General features: G+C 53.7%; 1 protein-coding gene and 1 long non-coding RNA gene across 6 annotated transcripts in view, besides 3 other annotated features; one reads left to right on the top strand and one right to left on the bottom strand.

The window, feature by feature from the left end:
- The window catches only part of GRID2IP (Grid2 interacting protein), a 54,684-nt gene that overhangs the window by 7,616 nt on the left and 26,787 nt on the right, over positions 1-20,281 (bottom strand). For 3 of the 4 annotated variants that reach the window (NM_001145118.2, XM_047420365.1, NM_001394781.1), the window contains 11 exons: positions 17,495-17,564; positions 17,036-17,130; positions 16,185-16,368; positions 9,982-10,136; positions 6,515-6,646; positions 6,216-6,313; positions 5,890-6,007; positions 4,565-4,920; positions 3,592-4,008; positions 1,427-1,514; positions 400-477 (listed from right to left, as the gene is read on the bottom strand). In NM_001145118.2, the coding sequence (NP_001138590.1) occupies positions 400-477; positions 1,427-1,514; positions 3,592-4,008; positions 4,565-4,920; positions 5,890-6,007; positions 6,216-6,313; positions 6,515-6,646; positions 9,982-10,136; positions 16,185-16,368; positions 17,036-17,130; positions 17,495-17,564 (1,791 nt within the window). The remainder of the gene's footprint in view (positions 1-399; positions 478-1,426; positions 1,515-3,591; positions 4,009-4,564; positions 4,921-5,889; positions 6,008-6,215; positions 6,314-6,514; positions 6,647-9,981; positions 10,137-16,184; positions 16,369-17,035; positions 17,131-17,494; positions 17,565-20,281) is intronic. The other variant, NM_001388403.1, reaches the window with a different exon arrangement.
- LOC101927325 (uncharacterized) lies at positions 118-12,642 on the top strand. Of its 2 annotated transcripts, XR_007060200.1 has the most exons (5): positions 118-1,767; positions 1,863-1,994; positions 4,513-4,651; positions 5,623-5,759; positions 12,013-12,642. It is a non-coding gene; the product is annotated as an uncharacterized LOC101927325 (long non-coding RNA). The 2 variants fall into 2 exon arrangements; XR_927004.2 differs by lacking the exon at positions 5,623-5,759 and having other exon boundaries at positions 1,208-1,994.
- Positions 241-290: an enhancer, noted in NCBI's record as "active region_25627". NCBI's record gives its function as "activates an Ori minimal core promoter by ATAC-STARR-seq in GM12878 lymphoblastoid cells {active_cell/tissue: GM12878}" and the evidence as "EXISTENCE:reporter gene assay evidence [ECO:0000049][PMID:35858748]".
- Positions 391-450: an enhancer, noted in NCBI's record as "active region_25628". NCBI's record gives its function as "activates an Ori minimal core promoter by ATAC-STARR-seq in GM12878 lymphoblastoid cells {active_cell/tissue: GM12878}" and the evidence as "EXISTENCE:reporter gene assay evidence [ECO:0000049][PMID:35858748]".
- Positions 471-690: an enhancer, noted in NCBI's record as "active region_25629". NCBI's record gives its function as "activates an Ori minimal core promoter by ATAC-STARR-seq in GM12878 lymphoblastoid cells {active_cell/tissue: GM12878}" and the evidence as "EXISTENCE:reporter gene assay evidence [ECO:0000049][PMID:35858748]".

Genomic DNA, 20,281 nt, shown 5'->3' on the forward strand with positions numbered 1-20,281 from the left:
AGGGGGCCGGGGCAGGGGCGGGCCCTGAAATAGAGACGGTCTTTCAGCGACCGATTTAAGGGTGAGGACGGGGTTCTCGAGACGCTAGATTGAGAAGCTGGGTGGGGTCTATGGGGGTCGGGCCAGGGACTAGGGCGGGGCCTGCGAAGGAGAGAGGGAATGAGGCTGGAGGCGGGGCCAGAACCGGGAAGTTGATTAGACAGTGAGGGTGGGGCCAGCACCCGCGCCCAGATGGGATCTGGCTGGCTATGGGGCCTGGGAGGGGGCCTTCACCGCGCTGAGCGACAGGAGGCCGGGTCCCCACCGCCTAATCTCTGTCATCCACCTGGGCAGGTCTGAGGCCCAGAGAAAGGGCCGCCGCCTGCCCCCTACACCCCCTGGGGTTCCCCGGACCCTCACAGGTGTTGTAGGCCTTCTTATGGGACAGGATCTCCACCACCTCCTTCTTCCGGAAGGGCTCCGGCCCCGGCACCGGTTCTGGAAAAGAAACTGACAGTTTACGGAGGCGGCTAGGCTGAGGCTGCAGTGGGAAGGCCCAGGGGTGGCGTGGTCACAGCCAACAGCCACTATCCCCCTAAGCACGACCTCGACTTAATCAGCTACACGTCCATAGTCCCTTCATTCCTCAGGTCGGGGACCTTCAGGTCCTGTGTGTAACCTCCCCCGCCCCGTGTCCTGTGCACTCCCCGTGCTGCAGGAAGCCAGGTCTTTCTGTTCCATCCTGGGACCGCCTGTTCCACCCATCAACGACAGGGAGATACCCAGGAAGGGGTGAGGGCAAGAGAGCCTGGAAGATGTATTTGTGGATGCCTCCTGTCTACGGTGTGACTGAGCAAATTACCTGACCTCTCTGTGCTTCCTCATTAGGAAGTGGGGGGTGATCACATTATGTACATCACAGAGTTGCCATGGGATTTAGAAATGAGAGTCCCTGGTGTTTGATCACTGCACAGTAAATGCCAGCTTTTTTTTTTTTTTTTTTTTTAGACGGGGTCTCACTGTGTCACCCAGGTTACCAGGTCGGAGTGCAGTGGTGTGATCGCGGCTCACTGCAACCTCCACCTCCGAGGCTCAATCGATCCTCCCAACTCAGCCTCCCAAGTAGCTGGGACCACAGACATCCTCCATGTGCCTGGCTAATTTTTTGTATTTTCGGTAGAGACAAGGGTTTCGCCACGTTGCCCAGGCTGGTCTCGAACCCCTGAGCTCAGGCGATCCACCCACCTCAGCCTCCCAAAGTGCTGGGATGACAGGCGTGAGCCACTGTGCCCGGCCTAAATGCCAGCTATTAAATAACTCAGGGACTGAAGGCTTGAGGACGCATCAGGTTAAATAGTAGTCAGTGCAGCCCTGGGAGATGCTAAGCCTGGGGCTGCCACAGATGGTGTGGTATCTGGGGTTCCCCCAAGGCCATCAGGCCACTCACTAGCAGGTTTCTGGGTGCCGAAGTGGAGCTCCAGGTCGAGGTATTTCACCATGTCACTCAGCTTATCGTAGTCAGAGTCTTCCCCGAGCTGCGAGGGAGGATGGGAGGTTCAGAGTAGGAGGAGCAGCAGCAGCTGGACTGGCCTCCCACTTCCCACCCTCTGAGGGCTGCCATAGGGGCTTCCCGAGCAAAAGCACCCATCAGGTGCTGGGATAAAGCCCGGAGCAGGAGGAGACTGCAGGAGAAGCCAGATCATCCGAGTCACCGGGTGCTGAGCCAGCGCCTCCTGGGGTCAATCGAGACTCAAGACTTGGAACACTACTCGTGCAGAAGCCAGCAAGGTGGGACTGCAGCGGGGGCATGAAGGAGCTGTGAAGAGGCTAGAGCCAAGTAAGGGGCTACCGGAGGTGGCTCAGGGGTCTGGCTCTGTCATCAGGTCTCCTTGGAGAGCGGTGAGTTCACCAGGGCTGCCCTGGGCAGAGTGAGCTGGTGCTGAGAGAACTGCAACTGTGACAGCCTAGGGGCCAGACGCTGGACACGTGGCTGTGATGAATGGCATAGATGAGAGGTAACAGCCTGGGGCTGGGGCAGGGAGTGCGGACGGGGTGGCTGCCAAAGGGAGAGAACCCAAAGGGAGGGCAGGCAGGGGAATGAAGTCTTAGAACATGGCTGCAGGGCAGGGACACTGAGGATGGATTTGGGTTTGGCCACATGTGTGACCTGTGTCCCTGTGTCCACCTTTGGTAACCAATGGAAGAACCACGCTGTGGAGCAATACTTGAAGATCGGTCCAAGGCTGGCAGGAGTGAGGTCTCCAGGGGACCCAGGAGGTCCTTATTTGTGCCCTTGTCTCACTGAGGTATTTTTTTTTTTTTTTTTTTAGATAGGGTCTCACTCTGTACCCCAGGCTGGAGTGCAGTGGTGCCATCTTGGCTCACTGCAACCTCCACCTGTGGGAATCAAGTGATTCTCCCTCTTCAGCCTCCCGAGTAGCTGGGACCACAGGCATGCACCACCAGGTCTGGCTAACTTTTTGATTTTTTTGTAGAGACAAGATCTCACTATGTTGCCCAGACTTGTCTTGAACTCTTAGGCTCAAGCAGTCCTCCCGCCTCAGCCTCCCAAAGTGCTGGGATTACAGGCGTGAACCACCAAGCCTGGCCTCAATGGGCATCTTTATTAGCAACTTGGAAAGGGTCCCTGGAGATGTGGGCTGAGAAAGCAGGAGACAGAATTGGGACCCAGGAGATGGCAGTGGGGAAAAATCACAAGCATGCCTCTGCCCAGTGTGACTACATGTGAGAGTGAGCTATTGATCCCAAGAAGATGGAGTTGAGGATGATGGTGATCATGAGCACTGGGACGGGGCAGCCCTGGGAGCTGGAAGGAGCCCCTGCCATATTAAAAGGAGTATGATGTCCCAGTCAAAGGAGCTGAGAACCCTGTTCTCTCCTCTGAGCTGGTCAAGCCCCATTGGGGGTTCCATCTGGGAATGTCTCTTTGACAGGGACATGGACACTGGAGTGGGGGTTGGAAACCATGTTCTAAGAGAATGATCTGAAAAAAAAAAAAAGGGGTGGGGTGAACCTTGTTCATCTTGCAGATTGGTTGGTCTGTGGATAAGATTGCTCTGCCCGATTTTAAGGGCCAGAAAGAAAACAGGGCATGGGAATCCTGGGGAGACAAGATTTCAGAGCAAGACAAAGGATGGTTAAAATCGTCCAGTGAGGAAAGGAAGACCTTGACAGGTAGTGAGTTCCCCACCACTGAAGGTGTTCAAGCATACACTGCCAGTGTTGTGAGGGAGGAACTTCAAGCATCAAAGTGAAAGGGTGAAGGCTGGTGTGCAGGAGTTTGAACCAGCTGCTCTTTTAAAGGTTTAAGAGAACTTGTCTGGCCTCAAAAGTGATAGGTTTCAAGGATGGGTAGGGTGGCATTTCCAGGTGTCCCCAGTGTGTGTCTTTGGCTGAGGGACACAGATTGGCTTCAATGCCTGCAGTGGCCCCCAAGCGTGGGGACGTTCTTGGGCTGGGCCTCTACTCATCCTCTGCTTGGGGTAGGGAGGATGATGTTGGAAGATGCCTGGCCGATGGGTTTTCCTTCAGTGCTGCTGCCCAAGCCATCCTCCCCCAGTACAGAGCGCTGCTGGGTCCCAGGTCACCTACCTGACCCCAGATGGTGCCTTCTGAGTTCTCCACCTGTTCCCACCGCAAGCGCTTGACGCTCATGTGGCTGGTCTCACTGCGCCGGTGGCCCAGGCCCCGGGACAGCATGGGGGGTGCACAGGGCACGGGTGGGGGCAGGGGCGGTGGGGGTGGTGGAGGGACTGGGTGGCTGAGTTGGGTGAGGGGCTTGGCCAGCGCCTGAGCAGGGCCCCGGGAACCATCAGAGCTGCGGGAGCTGGGCTTAGCGTCATGGAAAGGCAGGGGTGGCGGTGGTGGGGGGCTGAGCGGGGGTGGGGGGATGTGGTCAGAGATGGAGGAGTAGGTCAGGGAGCTGCCTTCTTCACTGCTGCTGATGCAGTCGCTGGCGCTGCTCCGCTCATTGGTTACGAAGCTGCCCTGGTCATCATGGAAGCTCATCTGGTGGTGGGGAGAGAGGCAAGGGGAGGGTGAGGCTGGGCCCAGAGAGACTAGAGCAGGTGCAAAGTGAAGGATCATGGGATAGCCTGGGACAAGGACAGGGCCATCTCACGGGTTAGCCTCAGGCTGTGAGGGACACCTGGGCTAAGGATAGGACTGTCTCACAGGTTAACCTCAGGCTGTGAGGGGGATAGCCTGGGCTAAGGATAGGACCCTCTCATGGGTAAGCCTCAGGCTGTGAGGGGGATAGCCTGGAATAAGGACAGGACCCTGTCACGGGTTAGCCTCAGGCTGTGAGTGGGATAGCCTGAGCTAAGGAATGGGCTAACCTGCGACAGGGAATATGGGCTAGCCTCAGTCAAGGAGCATGATAACCTTGAACAGGAGATAGGGTAACCTGGGGCAAGGGGTGGGATAGCTTGAGCTAGGGAGTGGGATAGCCTGGGGAAGATCCCAAGGGCAGCAGGCCCCTTGCGGGAGCCCAGGAACACTGTTGCCTTGCAGACCGCCACACCTCGCCTCACCCGCCTCCCTCCACACCTGCTTGCGTGCCCACCTCCTCGTAGTCGTTCTCCGGGGTCAGGAAATCATCCACGATGGTGACCCGGGGGCCCAGCTGCTCGCTCAGCACGTCCAGGAAGCGGTCAGTATCGCGGCTTCGCACAGGGTGGGAGAAGGTGAAGAGCTTCCTGCGGCTGGGCGGGCGGGTGGGGTCCGGGCTTGGGGGGCTGTCGGGGCAGATGGGCCCGGGGCCTGGCTGTGGGGAGGGTGCCCTGCTGCTGTCCAGGCTGGCGTAGGGGTGGGACTCAGAGCTGCTGGGGGAGGCCAGACCCCCCGAACACAGCGGGTGGTAGCAGGGGGAGGGCAAGAGTCGCTCGCTGGGCCATGAGACGCCGGACAGGGTCCTGGGCCCTGGAGGAGGGATGGAGTATGAGGATTCCTCTTCAGCCAGCACCGAGGTTCCAGGTGCAAGCTGGAGAGAGGGTCCTAGGACAGACTGGCTCTGTGTCCCAGGCCACTCTCCTTTCCCTCTCTGGGCACAGTGCAGGAAGACCTTGAGCGGCCCTGCCTTCCAAGCATGACTAAAGGCCAGATCTGGTGAGCAGGAGCACTGCTCGGCCTCAGGACAGGCTGGACGCCAGCTCACCTTGGAATGGTCACCAGGGGTCCCAGCTGGGAGCCACTGAACACCATTAACTCAAAGGGTGGAGGGGTTTCTCTAGGGCCCAGAGCCACAGTCATGGAGCGTCTCGCGCACCCAGCAAGCCCTGAGATCACAGGAGGGCCTCCCAGGGCTCCTGCCTTCTGAGCTGCAGAGCAACTGTCTTCCCAGCTGTGCCAACGCTGGTACAACGCGTTGCACTTGATCATTTATCCAATAACCACTTGCTAACTCGGGGACTTCCTCAGAATCAGGCATCTGCCTTCTTTCTTTTTCTTTTTTAAGACAGGGTCTTACTCTGTTGCTTATAGGCTAGAGTGCAGTGGTTCGAAATAGCTCACTGCAGCCTTGAACTCCTGGGCTCAAGTGATCCTCCCGCCTCAGCCTCTTGAGGAGTTGGGACTACAGGCATATGCAACCATGCCCAGCTAATTTTGTATTTTTTTTGTTAGAGATGGGGCCTCACTATGTTGCCAGGCTGGTCTCAAACTCCTGGGCTCCATTGATCCTCCTGCCTCGGCCTCCCAAAGTGCTGGGATTACAGGCACGACCCACGGTACCCAGGCTACTTTCTTGATCCACAGCTGAGGTGAGGGTCACAGGGCCATGGGAGGGACTGGGACAACCCTGACCCTGATGGAGCAGAGAAGCAGCTCCAGGGCTGAGCCTGGGGTGGAGGGAAACACCCAGACAGTAGATGACAGAGGCTGGAGCCCTACCTGTGGTGACTGCTGGGCTGGGGCCTGGAGGGGAAGCCCGGGATTTGGACACGGTCCCCATCTTCCCTTTGAAGCTGCTGTTCAGTCGAGACTCAAGCTCTGCATAGACGGCTGACATCTGGAGGGAGACGGGGGAGAGTCCAGCCCATTCTGCTTCCCCTCGTAGCCCTAATGTGGTCCAGGCCTGGGTGGGCCGGGAGGCAGGGATATGCCCCAGCCTGAAGCAGCACAGGGACGCCTTGGCCTGGGTCTCCTGGGCCCAGTCCTATGGACCGTCCATTCCCTGCCCCCTACTGACCCCACGTGGAGGGCAGAGAAGGTCTCACCATCTTGGGGTTGGGGGTCTCAGGGAGGGACGTGCCGTCGCCTGCCTGGCGCTCGCCTGGGATCAGGGGAAGAGGCATCTCAGGGCACTCGCTGGGACCTACCGGGGAATAATGTCATTACCGTATCTGAGCTCTACGGCTCAGGCCCCGGCCCAGAACCAACATGCCCCGCAGACCCAGGAGGGCCAATCCTGAGCCCTGCTTAGCCCCATTCCCTGGGATTCCCCACCTCACCAAGCCCATTTTGCAGGTGGGAAAACTGAGCTCCATTCATACCCTCCCCCTGACACCAGCCTTACCGCAGCTGAGGCCGGCCTCCAGGCCCTGGGACCGGAGGCTGCGGCGGCACATGGAGGAAGCCCGCAGGGAGCTCCGCGGCTGGGGCTCAGGCGTGGGCTCGGACTCCAGGTCCAGCTCAGGCTCCGGCTCTGCTGTGGGACATGCAGGGAACATGGGGCCCTCTTGCCCTCTCAGCCAGACAAGGGACCTCCAAAACAGGGAGGGGAGGGCAGATGTCATCTGCACCAATATGCAGACCCCAAGCTACGGGGCCTGCCCTGCTTGCCTCCAGAACAGCTCTTGAGGGGAAGCCCCAGGGCAAGAAACCAGGTGCCAGGAGCAGCACCAGAATGCAGCACCAGAATGCAGCTAGCCTGAACTCAGGGGCCTAGCAGAGATCTCATGACAACAGCTTCCAGAGTCTCAACGCCCTGTGCTTGCCCCAGGCCAAGTCACTGCTGCCCAGAGAGGATTATGGGCAAAATAGAAGTGTTTTTTTTTTGAGACTGAGTTTTGCTCTTGTTGCCCAGGTGGGAGTGCAGTGGTGCAATCTCAGCTCACTGCAACCTCCACCTCCCAGGTTCAAGCGATTCTCCTGCCTCAGCCTCCCAAGTAGCTGGGATTACAGGTGTCCGTCACCATGCCTGGCTAATTTTTGTATTTTTAGTAGAGATATGGTTTCAACATGTGGGCTAGGCTGGTCTCAAGTTCCTGACCTCAGGTGATCCGCCTGCCTCGGCCTCCCAAAGTGCTGGGATTACAGGTGTGAGCCACTGCTCCCGGCCAAAATAGAAGTTTTTTGAGCCTACGCAGATATGTAAGGCATGTGTGGTCCAGCATGGATCCTGAGCTTCTCGCTAAAACCCTAGCAAATTGTGGGTCCCTGGGACTGCAGCTCATGGGCACACAAGGACCAGCAACTCTGCAGCGGCCCCTTCCCTTTCCTTCCTTTCCTTTCCTTCCTTCTCTTCCTTCTCTCACTTTCTCTCTTTCTCTCTTTTCTCTCTCTCTGTCTCTTTCTCTCTTTCTCTCTTTATTTATTCAGAGTCTGGCTTTCTCATCCAGGTTGGAGTGCAGTGGCACAATCTCAGCTCACTGCAACCTCCACCTCCCAGGTTCAAATGATTCTCGAGCCTCAGCTTCCCAAGTAGCTGGGACCACAGGCATGCACCACCATGCCTGGCTAAATTTTTGTATTTTTTTTTTTTAAGCAGAGATGGGGTTTCACCATATTGGACAGGCTGGTCTTCAACTCCTAACCTCAGGTGATCCACCTGCCTCAGCCTCTGAAAGTGCTGGGATTACAGATGTGAGCCACCACACCTGCCTTTTTTTCTTTTCTTCTTTTTTTTTTTTTTTTTTGTGACAGGTCTCACTCTGTCCCCCAGGCTGGAGTGCAATCAAGGCTCAGTGCAGCCTTGAATCCCAGGCTCAACAGATCCTCCTGCCTGAGCCTCCCCTGCAGCTGGGATTACAGGTGTGTGCCACCACACCCAGCTAATTTCAAATTTTTTTGCTATGTTGCCCAGGCTGGTCTCCAACTCCTGAGCTCAAGTGCTCCTCCCACCTCATCCTCCCAAGTAGCTGGGACTACAGGTGCATACCACCACGCCTGGCTAATTTTTTATTTTTTTTTTCTTTGAGATGGAGTCTCACCGTGTTGCCCAGGTTGGAGTGTAGTGGTGCGATCTCAGCTCACTGCAACCTCCGTCTCCCAGGTTCAAGCAATTCTCCTGCCTCAGCCTCCCGAGTAGTTGGAATTACAACTGCGTACCACCACACCTGGCTTATTTTTGTATTTTTAGTACAGATGAGGTTTCCCCATGTTGGCCAGGCTTGTCTCGAACTCCTGACCTCACGTGATTGGCCTGCCTCAGCTCCACAAAGTGCTGGGATTACAGACGTGAGTCACCGCGCACGGCCACCCCTGGCTGATTTTTAAATATTTTGAATATATGGGGGTCTTGTTGTGTTGCCCAAGCTGGACTTGGAACTCCTGACCTCAAGTGATCCACCCACCTCAGCCTACCAAAGTGCTGGGATTACAAGAGTGAACCACTGCACCTGCAGCGGCTTTCATAGCAGGTGCAGGATGCCTAGAACAGGGTAGAACACAGGCTTCGGCACACCTTCCATCCACATGACCTGCATGCTGAGTGCAGGGGTTTGTGGGCATTCGGAGGGCACGCTGAACAGACAGGTGGCAGCCACACATGGCACTGCAGGCCTGTGTGTGTGCAAGAAAGAGTACACTGGGAGCCCACCAGCCAGGTGGGATGTGGTCGTGTGCTCATGATCCTGGTGGTGGTGTTGGCATGTCTGGCAACCACGTGAGTTTCTTTCTTTTTTCTTTTTTTCTTTCCTTTTTTTTTTTCTGGAGGCAGTAGCTTGATCATAGCTCACTGCAGCCTTGATCTCCTGCACTCAAGCCATCTTCCCACCTCAGCCTCCTAAGTAGCCGGGACTACAGGTGTGCATCACACCTGGCTAAATTAAAACTTTTTTTTTTTTTGGTAGAGACAGGCTCTTGCTATGTTGCCCAGGCTAATCTTGAGCTCCTGAGCTCAAGTGATGCTTCCACCTCAGTCTCCTAAAATGCTGGGATTATAGGTGTGAGCCACCACGTCCAGCCTTACACGAGTTCCTTCTCACAAGTTCCACTTCTCAGAGTACAGAGCGCAGCCACTGAGACCACTTCCATTTTGTGGGTGCAAAAACTGAGACTGCAGGTGGTTAGGTGCAGTGTCTAAAGTCTCAGGTTATGTTGTATATGCTGCATAAAGGTCACGCTGGGAAGGCGCGTCCGTGGGGCCACGTGTGGGCCTAGCCCTGGTGTATTGGGTGTGTACGTGCATGGCTGTGGACACTTCTATGTGGGAGGGGCCCAAATCGGCTGTAAGACCTCATAGGTGAGGCCAGATGCAGTGGCTCACACCTGTAATCCCTGTGCTTTGGGAGGCCGGAGTGGGAGGATCACTTGAGCCCAGGAGGTTGAGGCTGCGGTGAGCCATGATGGCACCACGACACTCCAGCCTGGGCGACAGAGCAAGACTCCGTCTCAAAAAAAAAAAAAAAAAAAAAAAAGGCTGGGCGTGGTGGCTCACACCTGTAATCCCAGTGCTTTGGGAGGCCGAGGTGGGTGGATCATGAGGTCAGGAGATAGAGACCATCATGGTTAACATGGTGAAACCTCTTCTCTACTAAAAACACAAAAGAATAGCTGGGCGTAGTGACATGCGCCTTTAGTCCCAGCTACTCGGGAGGCTGACGCAGGAGAATCGCTTGAACTTGGGAGGCGGAGGTTGCAGTGAGCCAAGATCGTGCCATTGCACTCCAGCCTGGGGCACAAGAGTGAGACTCCATTTCAAAACAAACAAACAAGCAAACAAACACCTTCACATGTGAGAACAGGTGTCTGTCTGTTCACCTGGTGAGCTGGACAGTCAGCAGCTGCAGGCAGGGAAGTGGCAGGGGAGAGGACGCTTACCTGTCATGGCCGTGTAGCCCAGGAAGCATGCGATTTTCTCCTGACAGAGCTCCTGCTCCTCATAGGTCAGCAGCTGGTAGATGAACTGCCACAGGACCTGCTTGGCAGGGGTGTCCAGCACAGGGTAGACGTCAACGATGAGGGTGTCGATGTTCCTGGGGGAAGGTGCAGGAATGTGAGGCTCAATACTCACGGGCTTACCATGATGCACAGAGTGGGGGTAGACAAGACGGCACTTCCAAGCCACAGCGTCTGCCCTCATGCCCTATCCCTACCCTTCAAAGACAGAAGTGGGGGCCGGGCACAGTGGCTCACGCCTGTAATCCCAGCACTTTGAGAGGCCGAGGCAGGTGGATCATTTGAGGTCAGGAGTTCGAGACCAGCCCAGCCAACATGGTGAAAGGCCGTCTCTACTGAAAGTATAAAAATTAGTCAGGTGTGGTGGTGCACACCTGTAATCCCAGCTACTCGGGAGGCTGAGGCAGGAGAATTGCTTGAGCCTGGGAAGTGGAGGTTGCAGTGAGCTGAGATCGTGTCACTGCACTCCAGCCTGGGAGACAGAGTGAGACTCCAACTCAAAAAAAAAAAAAAAGAAAAGAAAAAGAGAGAGAGAGAGAAGTGGGCAGGAAGGCAGGCTCCAGGGATAGGGTAGCCAGACTCCAATCTCAGCTCTGCCACTTACCAGCTAAGTGACCTTTCTCAAGTGACTTACCCTCTCTGTGCCTCAGTTTCCTCATTTGTAAAATGGGGATAAAAATAGCATCTACCTCATAGAGCTGTTGTGAAGATTAAAACACACAGAGCAGGCCTGGCGTGGCGGCTCACGCCTGTAATCCCAGCACTGTGGGAGGCCGAGGCGGTTGGATCACCTCAGATCGGGAGTTCAAGACCAGTCTGGCCAACATAGTGAAACCCCCTCTCTACTAAAAATACAAAAATTAGCTGGGCGTGGTGGCATGTACCCTCAGTCCCAGCTACTCAGGAGGCTGAAGTAGGAGAATCGCTTAGACTGGGAGGCGGAGGTTGTAGTGAGCTGAGATTGCGCCACTGCACTCCAGCCTGGGTGACAGAGCAAGACTCTGTCTCAAAAAAACCCAAAAAACCAAAAAACATATAGAGCAGGCCAGGCATGGTGGCTCATGCCTATAATCCCAGCACTTTGGGAGGCTGAGGCAGGCGAATCATCTGAGGTCGGGAGCTCAAGATCAGCTTAGCCAACATGGTAAACCCTGTTTCTACAAAAAAATACAAAAATGTGGTAGGCATGTTGGTGTGCACCTGTAATCCCAGCTACTCAGGAGGCTGAGGCAGGAGAATCGCCTCGCCTGAGCTCGGGGAGGCGGAGGTTGCACCGAGCCAAGATTGCGCCACTACACTCCATCCTGGGCCACAGAGCGAGACTCTGTCTCAAAAAAATAAATAAATAAACAAAAATAAAAATAGGCTGGGGGTGGTGGCTCACGCCTGTAATCCTAGCACTTTGGGAGGCTGAGGTGGGTGGATCACGAGCTCAGGAGTTCGAGACCAGTCTGGCCAACGTGGTGAAACCCCCTCTCTACTAAAAATACAAAAATCAGCCAGGCGTGGTGGTGTGTGCCTGTAATCCCAGCTACTCGGGAGGCTGAGGCAGCAGAATCGCTTGAACCCGGGAGGTGGAGGTTGCAGTGAGCTGAGATCGCGCCATTGCACTCCAGCCTGGGTGACAGAGCAAGACCCCGTCTCAAAATAATAATAATAAAAAATAAATAAATAAATAAATAAAAATAAAGTAGGAGAATATCTTTTGACCTAGAAGCAGGGAAGAGCTTAAAATTTCAAAAGCCAAAACTGTGGGCGGCAAGCCACCCAGATGCCAAGGCAAGAGACCGAGGGCACAAGCTGTTCCAATATAATAAAGAAAATACATAGAATAAGAATAGTTATACTAGAAATAGATTATAGATATGTATATGAATATTATTAATAATTAGTTTGTAGCATTACTGTTTATTCCAATATTATAATAATCTTTGTCCTACAATTATAACCTAGGAGAAACCAGGCCATACAGAGATAGGAGCTGAAGGGACACGGTGAGAAGTGACCAAAAGACAAGAGTGTGAGCCCTCCGTTATGCCTGGACAGGGCCACTAGAGGGCTCCCTGGTCTACTGGTAACGCCAGTGCCTGGGAAGGCACCCGTTGCTTAGCAGACCGGGAAAGGGAGTCTCCCTTTCCTGGTGGAGTTAAAGAAGACTCTGCTCCACCACTGCTTGCCCGCCCGCAGCCACCCAGAGGCCTAACGCTGTCCCTGTGATGCTGTGCTTCAGTGGTCACGCTCCTGGTCCGCATTCATGTTCTGCCCTGTGCACTCGGCTCCACCTTCTAGATAGCAGCAGCAGAATTAGTGAAAGTACTAAAGTCTTTAAAATGCATAGAAGAAATAATTACGTAAGCTGTCCCCTCTTTCTCTCCGCCTCAGCTACCAAATAGGGAAGGGCCCCCTGTCTGGCGGACACGTGACTCACATGACCTTACCTATCATTGGAGATGACTCTCACTCCATACCCTGCCCCTTTGCCTTGTACACAATAAATAACAGCACGGCCAGGCATTCGGGGCCACTACTGGTCTCCGCGTCTTGGTGGTAGTGGTCCCCCGGGCCCAGCTGTCTTTTCTTCTATCTCTTTGTCTTGTGTCTTTCTTTCTTTTTTTTTTTTTTGAGACAGTCTGGCTCTGTCACCCAGGCTGGAGTGCAGTGGCACAATCTCGTCTCACTGCAAGCTCCGCCTCCCAGGTTCACACCATTCTCCTGCCTCAGCCTCCCGAGTAGCTGGGACTACAGGCGCCTGCCACCACGCCCGGCTATTTTTTTTTTGTATTTTTAGTAGAGACGGGGTTTCACCATGTTAGCCAGGATGGTCTCGATCTCCTGACCTCGTGATCTGCCCATCTCAGCCTCCCAAGGTGCTGGGATTACAGGCATGAGCCACCGCGCCCAGCCGTCTTGTGTCTTTATTTCTACGATCTCTCATCTCCGCACACGAAGAGAAAAACCCACAGGCCCTGTAGGGCTGGACCCTACACAAAACTATAAGACCAAAAATGTGGTGAGTTTGATTATGCAAAATCAAGGTTATCTATTCAAGGAAGCCCAACTTAGACACATTCATATTAGACACAACAGACCTAATAACAGAAGTAACAAATGGGAGAGAAATTTACAATGTTCAAAATCAAGGAGAAATCAGCATCTAAAATATACAAAGGTGTCCAGCCGTCGTGGCTCACAAGTCATCCCAGCACTTTGGCAGGCTGAGGCAGGGGGATCACCTGAGTCAGGAGTTCGAGACCAGCCTGGCCAACATGGTGAAACCCCATCTCTACTAAAAGTACAAAAATTAGCCAGGCATGGTGGTGGGCGCCTGTAATCCCAGCTACTCAGGAGGCTGAGGCAGGAGACACACTTGAACCGGGAAGGCAGAGGTTGAAGTGAGCCAAGATCATGCCACTGAACTCCAGCCTGGGCGACAGAGCAAAACTCTGCTTCAAAATAAATAAATAAATAAATAAATAAATAAAATAAAATATACAAGGGGCTGGGAGCAGTGGCTCACACCTGTAATCCCAGCACTTTGGAAGGCTAAAATGGGCAAATCTTTTGAGCCCAGGAGTTCAAGACCAGCAACATGGCAAAACCCTGTCTCTACTAAAAAAAAAAAAAAAATTAGCTGGGCATGGTAGGCGAGTGCCTGTAGTCCCAACTACCTGGGGGGCAGAGGCACAAGGATCACTTCAGCCTGGGAGTTCGAGGCTGCAGTGAGCTGTGTTTGCACCACTGCACTCCAGCTTGGGTGACAGAGTGAGACCCTGTCTCAGAAAATAAATAAAATAAAATATACAAGAAACTTCATGCCAGTCAACAAGGACAAAAAGTCCAAGAAAACAAAAATGGACAAAGGGTATGAACAGTAATTTATAGAGAAAAATCCCAGAAAAAGTTCACAAGCATATTAAAAGATGCTTAAAATAATTAGTAATAGAAGAAAATCAAATAAAAATAACAGGATGTCACTTTTATGGCTAAGAAAGTAGCAAAAATAGGCCGGGTGTCGTGGCTCACACCTGTAATCCCAGCACTTTGGGAGGCTGAAGTGGGCAGATCACGAGGTCAAGAGATCAAGACCATCCTGGCCAACATGGTGAAACCCTGTTTCTACTAAAAATACAAAAATTAGCTGGGCGTGGTGGAGAGTGCCTGTAGTCCCAGCTACTCGGGAGGCTGAGGCAGGAGAATCGCTTGAACCCAGGAGGGGGAGGTTGCAGTGAGCCGAGAGCACGCCACTGTACTCCAGCCTGATGACAGAGTAAGACTCCATCTCAAACAAAAAATAAAAATTAAAAAAAAGAAACTAGCAAAAATAAAAAGTTGGGCATCACTGTGATCTAAAGGAATTTGGCTTTAGTTATAATCAATGTATGAAATATACATTGGACAGAGCTAAACACATAGTAATTGGTGAATAAGTTAGACACAAAACATGATATCAAGCACAGTTTTTTTTTGTTTTTTTGTTTTTTTTTGAGACGAAGTCTCATTTTGTCACCCAGGCTGGAGAGCAGTGGTGTGATCTTGGCTCACTGCAATCTCTGCCTCCTGGGTTCAAGTGATTCTCCTGCCTCAGCCTCCCAAGTAGCTGGAACTACAGGTGCGCACCACCATGCCCAGCTAATTTTTTCTTTTTGTAGAGATGGCTTCTTGCTCTGTTGCCCAGACTGGTTTTGAACTCCTGGGCTCAAGCGATCCTCCTGCCTCAGCCTCCCAAAGTGCTGGGATTATAGGTGTCTGGCCTGGGTTTCTTTTTGATGTGATGAAGTTTTAAAATGGACCGTGGTGATGTTTGCACGTATTTGTGAATATACTAAAAACCACTGAATTGTATAATTAAATGGCAAATTGTATAGTATGTGAATTACATCTTAAGACTCTTTAGAGCCAAGTACAGTGGCTCATGCCTGTAACCGCAGCACTTTGGGACGATCACTTGAGCCCAAGAGTTCGAGACCAGCCTGGGTAACATAGTGAGACCTCCCCATCTTTTTTAAAAAACAAAACCAAACCAGGCCAGGTGCGGTGACTCATGCCTGTAATCCCAGCACTTTGGGAGGCTGAAGCAGGTGGATCACCTGAGGTCGGGAGTTTGAGACCAGCCTGACCAACATGGAGAAACCCTATCTCTACTAAAAGTACAAAATTAGCCAGGCGTGGTGGCATATGCCTGTAATCCCAGCTACTTGGGAGGCTGAGGCAGGAGAATCGCTTGAGTCCGGGAGGTGGGGGTTGCGGTGAGCCGAGATCGCACCACTGCACTCCAGCCTGGGCAACGAGAGTGAAACACCATCTCAAAAAACAAAAACAAAAATAAAAAACCCTTCAAACAAAACAAAAAGGTATGGACAAGTGACAGGCTTTGCAGAGACCATAATAATGACCCCATGGACCGAGGAGTGTGATAAATGCAGCTGGCTGCAGCTGAGGTCCAAAAAGAAAGACACCAACCCTACCCCGAAGGGCCTAGCCCATGACAAGTGCCCACAGGTGGGGCTCTGGTGAAGGTCCCATCAAGAATGCTGCAGGTGGGCCAAGGCACGGTGGCTCACGCCTGTAATCCCAGCACTTTGGGAGGCCGAGGCGGGCAGATCACGAGGTCAGGAGTTTGAGACCAGCCTGACCAACATAGTGAAACCCTGTCTCTAGTAAAACCCTGTCTCTAGTAAAAATACAAAAAAATTAGCCGGGTGTGGTGGTGGGCACCTGTAATCCCAGCTACTCGGAGGCTGAGGCAGAAGAATCGCTTGAACCCAGGAGGCGGAGGCTGCAGTGAGCCAAGATCTCATCATTGCACTCCAGCTGGGTGATAGAGCGAGACTCCATCTCAAAAAAAAAAAATAGAATGTTGCAGGTGGTTCCTGTCTGCCTCACTTCACAGAGAAGGCTGAGACTCGCCCAAGGTCACGTGACTAGGAGGTGTCAGAGTCAGAGATTGTTCCAGGGCAGCTCAATTGCCCACCACCCTGGGGCCCCTGATACCAGCAGCCACCTTCCTGAGCATCCCCCAGGAGAACGGGACTGAGGAGGTTCAGGCAGGGAGACTGGGATGTGAGTCTAGGCAGGACTTAGGGCCCACCCAGGGCAGGGCCCCACCGCGGCTTTGGCCCGGCCACCTGTGCTGGAAGAAGCTCTCGAGGGCCCGGCAGACCCCATAGCGCTCAGGAGGTGTGAGTAGGTGCTCCAGCTGCTGGCTGAAGGTCCTCCCTTGGACCCGGATGCTGGACGGCAGGATCTCCGCCACCCACTGCAGGGAGGTGAGCGCCGACGACGGGTTGGGTGAGTCCAGAGAATCGGAGTCTGCTGGGACCACAGGCGGGAGAGGCATGAGTGACTCAGAGTCCCCAGGCCAGGTGTAGTCTCCCTGGCTTTTGAGGTCAGGAGACCTCCTGAGCTGGGGTGTGGCTGTCCAGTGCCATGCATGGGAAGGCATGCCTGTGGCCCGACACCGGGGCCAAGGATAGAGGGAGTCAGCCCTGGGAAGGGTCCCTAAGGCTATACACTAGGGTTTTTTGTTTGTTTGTTTTGAGACAGAGTCTTGCTCTGTTGCCCAGGCGGGAGTGCAATGGCGTGATCTCGGCTCACTGCAACCTCCGCTTCCTGGGTTCAAGTGATTCTCTTGCCTCAGCCTCCCAAGTAGCTGGGACTACAGGCACGTGCCATCACGCCCAGCTAGTTTTTGTATTTTTAGTAGAGACAGAGTTGTGCCATGTTGCTCAGACTGGTCTCAAACTCCTGGCCTCAAGCGATCCTCCCACCTTGGCCTCCCAAAGTGCTGGGATTCCAGGCATGAGCCACCATGCCCAGCCTCACTGGGGTTCTATAGCACCACTTAGGAGGCAGCCCCGGGGAGGCAAGCTGCAGGTTTAGGGGAAGAGCTGAGTCCTCCGCACTGTGACTCTCACATATAGCAGCCTGGGCAGGGTCTCTGGGGGCCAAGGAAGCCAAGTGTCCATGGGGGTCTCACCACTGGCAAATGGGACGAGCCCTTCCTCCACCACCAGCGTGGGCATGGCACCACTGCCCTGCAGCATGGACACCACCTTGTCGTGGGAGCAGTTCCTGCCAAGCAGAGATGGCCCAGGAGGGCCTGACTGGGGTGAGCCCTGTCCACGGCCACCAGCCAGACCTCCCTGTCCTGCCCACAGAGGTCACACAGCAAGACCACCTCTGTGTGACTCTGTGTCCCCAGCATGGAGCTGGAGTATTTTCTGGTTGGAAGGATGAACTGAGGTCCTGGCTAGAGTTGGCGACTGGCGAGGAGGAGGGTTAGATTCAAGAGTTCCCATTGGAAGAGGGACAGACCCTGGGGACCAAATGGTGAGAGGAGATTGTGATCACAGCCTGGGTGCCCCAAGAGGCAGGAGTCTTGCAGGGGGTGGGGGCAGCTCCTCACCAACCCCTGGTGTCCCCAATAGCCTCTGACCTCATGTCCAGTCCATTGAGGAAGAGGATCCGGTCACCTGACTTGAGGGCAGCATTGTCAGCTGGGCTCCCTGGAAGCAAGAAGAGAGGGTGTGCCGGTCAGCTGGGCAGGGTACCACTTTGAGAGCAGGATGCTATCCTGTTTTACAGGCGAGAAATGGAGACTCAGAGACCCATAGCTTGCCGGGCATGGTGGCTCACACCTGTAACCTCAGCACTTTGGGAGGCCAAGGCAGGAGGATCGCTTGAGCCCAGGAGTTCGAGACCAGCTTGGGCAACATAGCGAGACCCCATCTCTACCAAGAAAAAAAATACAGAGCCCCATAGGCATGGGTGGCAGAGGAGAGTCAAATCAGGTCAGCAGACCCCTGTAATAGACTCTGCACGTCTCTGATCTCAGCTGCTCTAAGGATCTAAGGACCACGGGAGTGATCCCCTAGCAGGGGTACAGCATGGACCCCCAGTGCTGGAGAAGAGGGAGGTCTGGAGGGCAGGACTCAGGCAGCATCAGTACTTCTTGAGTCCCTGCTCCATACACTGTTCTTAGCCCCACACAGAAAGGTCCTGTCAGGGTCTGGGATTCCTCTTTGCTTCAGGAGAATTATTTTCTGTATTTTTTTTTTTTAATTTTAGAGACAGGGTCTTGCTGAAGTGCAGAGGTGTGATCACAGATCACTGCAGCCTCAACCTCCTAGGCTCAAGCAGTCTTCCCACCTCAGGCTCTGAGTAGCTGGGACCATAGGCACGCACCACCACTCCGGGCTAATTTTTTTTTTTGAGATGGAGTCTCGCTCTATCACCCAGGCTGGAGTGCAGTGGTGTGATCTCGGCTCACTGCAACCTCTGCCTCCTGGGTTCAAGCTATTCTCCCACCTCAGCCTCCTGAATAGGTGGGACTACAGCCACCATGCCTGGCTAATATGTGTGTGTGTGTGTGTGTGTGTGTGTTAGCGTGTGTTTAGTAGAGATGAGGTTTCGCCATATTGCCCAGGCTAGTCTCGAACTCCTGCTCAAGTGATCCGCCCGCCTTGGCCTCCCAAAATGCTGGGATTACAGACATGAGCTACCATGCCCGGCCACCCAATTTTTGTATTTTTTGTAGAGACGAAGTTTCACCATGTTGCCCAGGCTGGTCTCAAACTCCTGGCCTCAAATGATCCTCCTGCCTCAGTCTCCCAAAGTGCTGGGATTACAGGTGTGAGCCACCACGTAGTCCTCTTTCTGCCTCTTTTATGAGTCATCATTCTAAATGTAATTTGGAAAGTAGGGAAAATGATCAATGGCTAAATAAAATATACTCTCAGATTGCGAGAAGTTCTCTCTGGGGGAAGTGGAAACTGTCCAGAGAAGAGAGGGAACAATTAGGGAAGACTTCCCGGGAGAGGCGAGATGGGGGAAGTCCTTTCCCTGGACCAAAAAGGAGAGAGTGATGGTGGTGGCGAATCCAATCTGGCCTGCCTGGAATGGTGGGACAGCTAGAGAGGTTGTCGCAGGGGATCAAAGAGCACTGGGCCAGGAGTCAGGAGATCCCAGTTTCTGGTCCTTAATTTACCAGAGCCTCTCCAGGCCTCAGTTTCCCCATCTGTAAAAGCTTCCATCTAAGCATCCATTTGGCTTCCTATGACAGGAAAGGCATGGGATCACTGGCTTGAAGGTTGGGTTGGGAAGAACAGCAGACCTGGATTTTTTTTTCTTTTTTTGAGACAGGGTCTTGCTCTGTCACCCAGGCTGGAGTGCAGTGGCATGATCATAGCTCACTACAGCCTCGAACTTCTGGGCTCAAGTGATCCTCCCACCCCAGCCTCCAGAGTAGCTGGGACTACAGGCATGTGCCTCACTATTGCTCAGACTGGTCTCAAACTCCTGGGCTCAAGTGATCTTCCTGCCTCGGCCTCCCAAAGTGCTGGGATTACAAGTGTGAGCCACTGCACCCAGCCACACCTGGATTCTAACAAGGCCCTAGGCCAGGTATCTCTGGCTACACATGTGGGAGAGACTGGGAGATGGAGATGGTGGTGGTGGCATGGTTGGAACAGCCACATCCACAGAGGAGAGATTAATCACTTCTAGAGGAAGCTCTCCAGAGAGCAGCTTTGGGCCTTTTGCTTACAATATGGTGTCAACAAGTTAGTGATGCCCAAATCGGGGAAGAACCTGAACATGCCACTTCTCAGGATTAAGTCTCAGAACAGCCTGAAGCCTGTAAGGATGATGCACTGACACTGAAGTGCTCTTCCAGGGCTGGGACTACTGGCCTCAGTTTCCCCCTTTGTAAAAGCGTCCATCTAAGCATCCATTTGGCTTCCTATGACAGGAAAGGCATGGGATCAGTCCCGGGCTGGGACTACAGGATCAGACGATGCCCAGCTCACAGATCCATACACTGGAGATGTGATGACACACAGAGTGTGGAAAGAATGCATTGGCATGGCCACCAATGGAGATGTGTAACCAGGAGCATTACACTTAGGTGCTGGGAGGGGACGGATGCAGGACAGAGCAGGTGACCCAGTTCTGAGCAGATGGTTACAGGGAGGGAGAATTCAATTCAGCTCTAGGAGACACTTCTGCCCTACAAACACCTTCCACAATGAATATGAGTGCACACACACACCCCTGCCCCACTGGAGGGGCAGGAAGAAAGGGATTCTTGCACTGCAGAGGTTCTGCCTTCTTCAAGATGCCATGGTTGGGCATGGTGGCTCACGCCTGTAATCCCAACATTTAGGAGGCTGAGGCAGGAGGATCCCTTAAGCCCAGGAGTTGGAGGCTACAGTGGGCCATGATC

Source organism: Homo sapiens, chromosome 7 (genome assembly GCF_000001405.40).
Source record: "Homo sapiens chromosome 7, GRCh38.p14 Primary Assembly".
Taxonomy (NCBI): domain Eukaryota; kingdom Metazoa; phylum Chordata; class Mammalia; order Primates; family Hominidae; genus Homo; species Homo sapiens.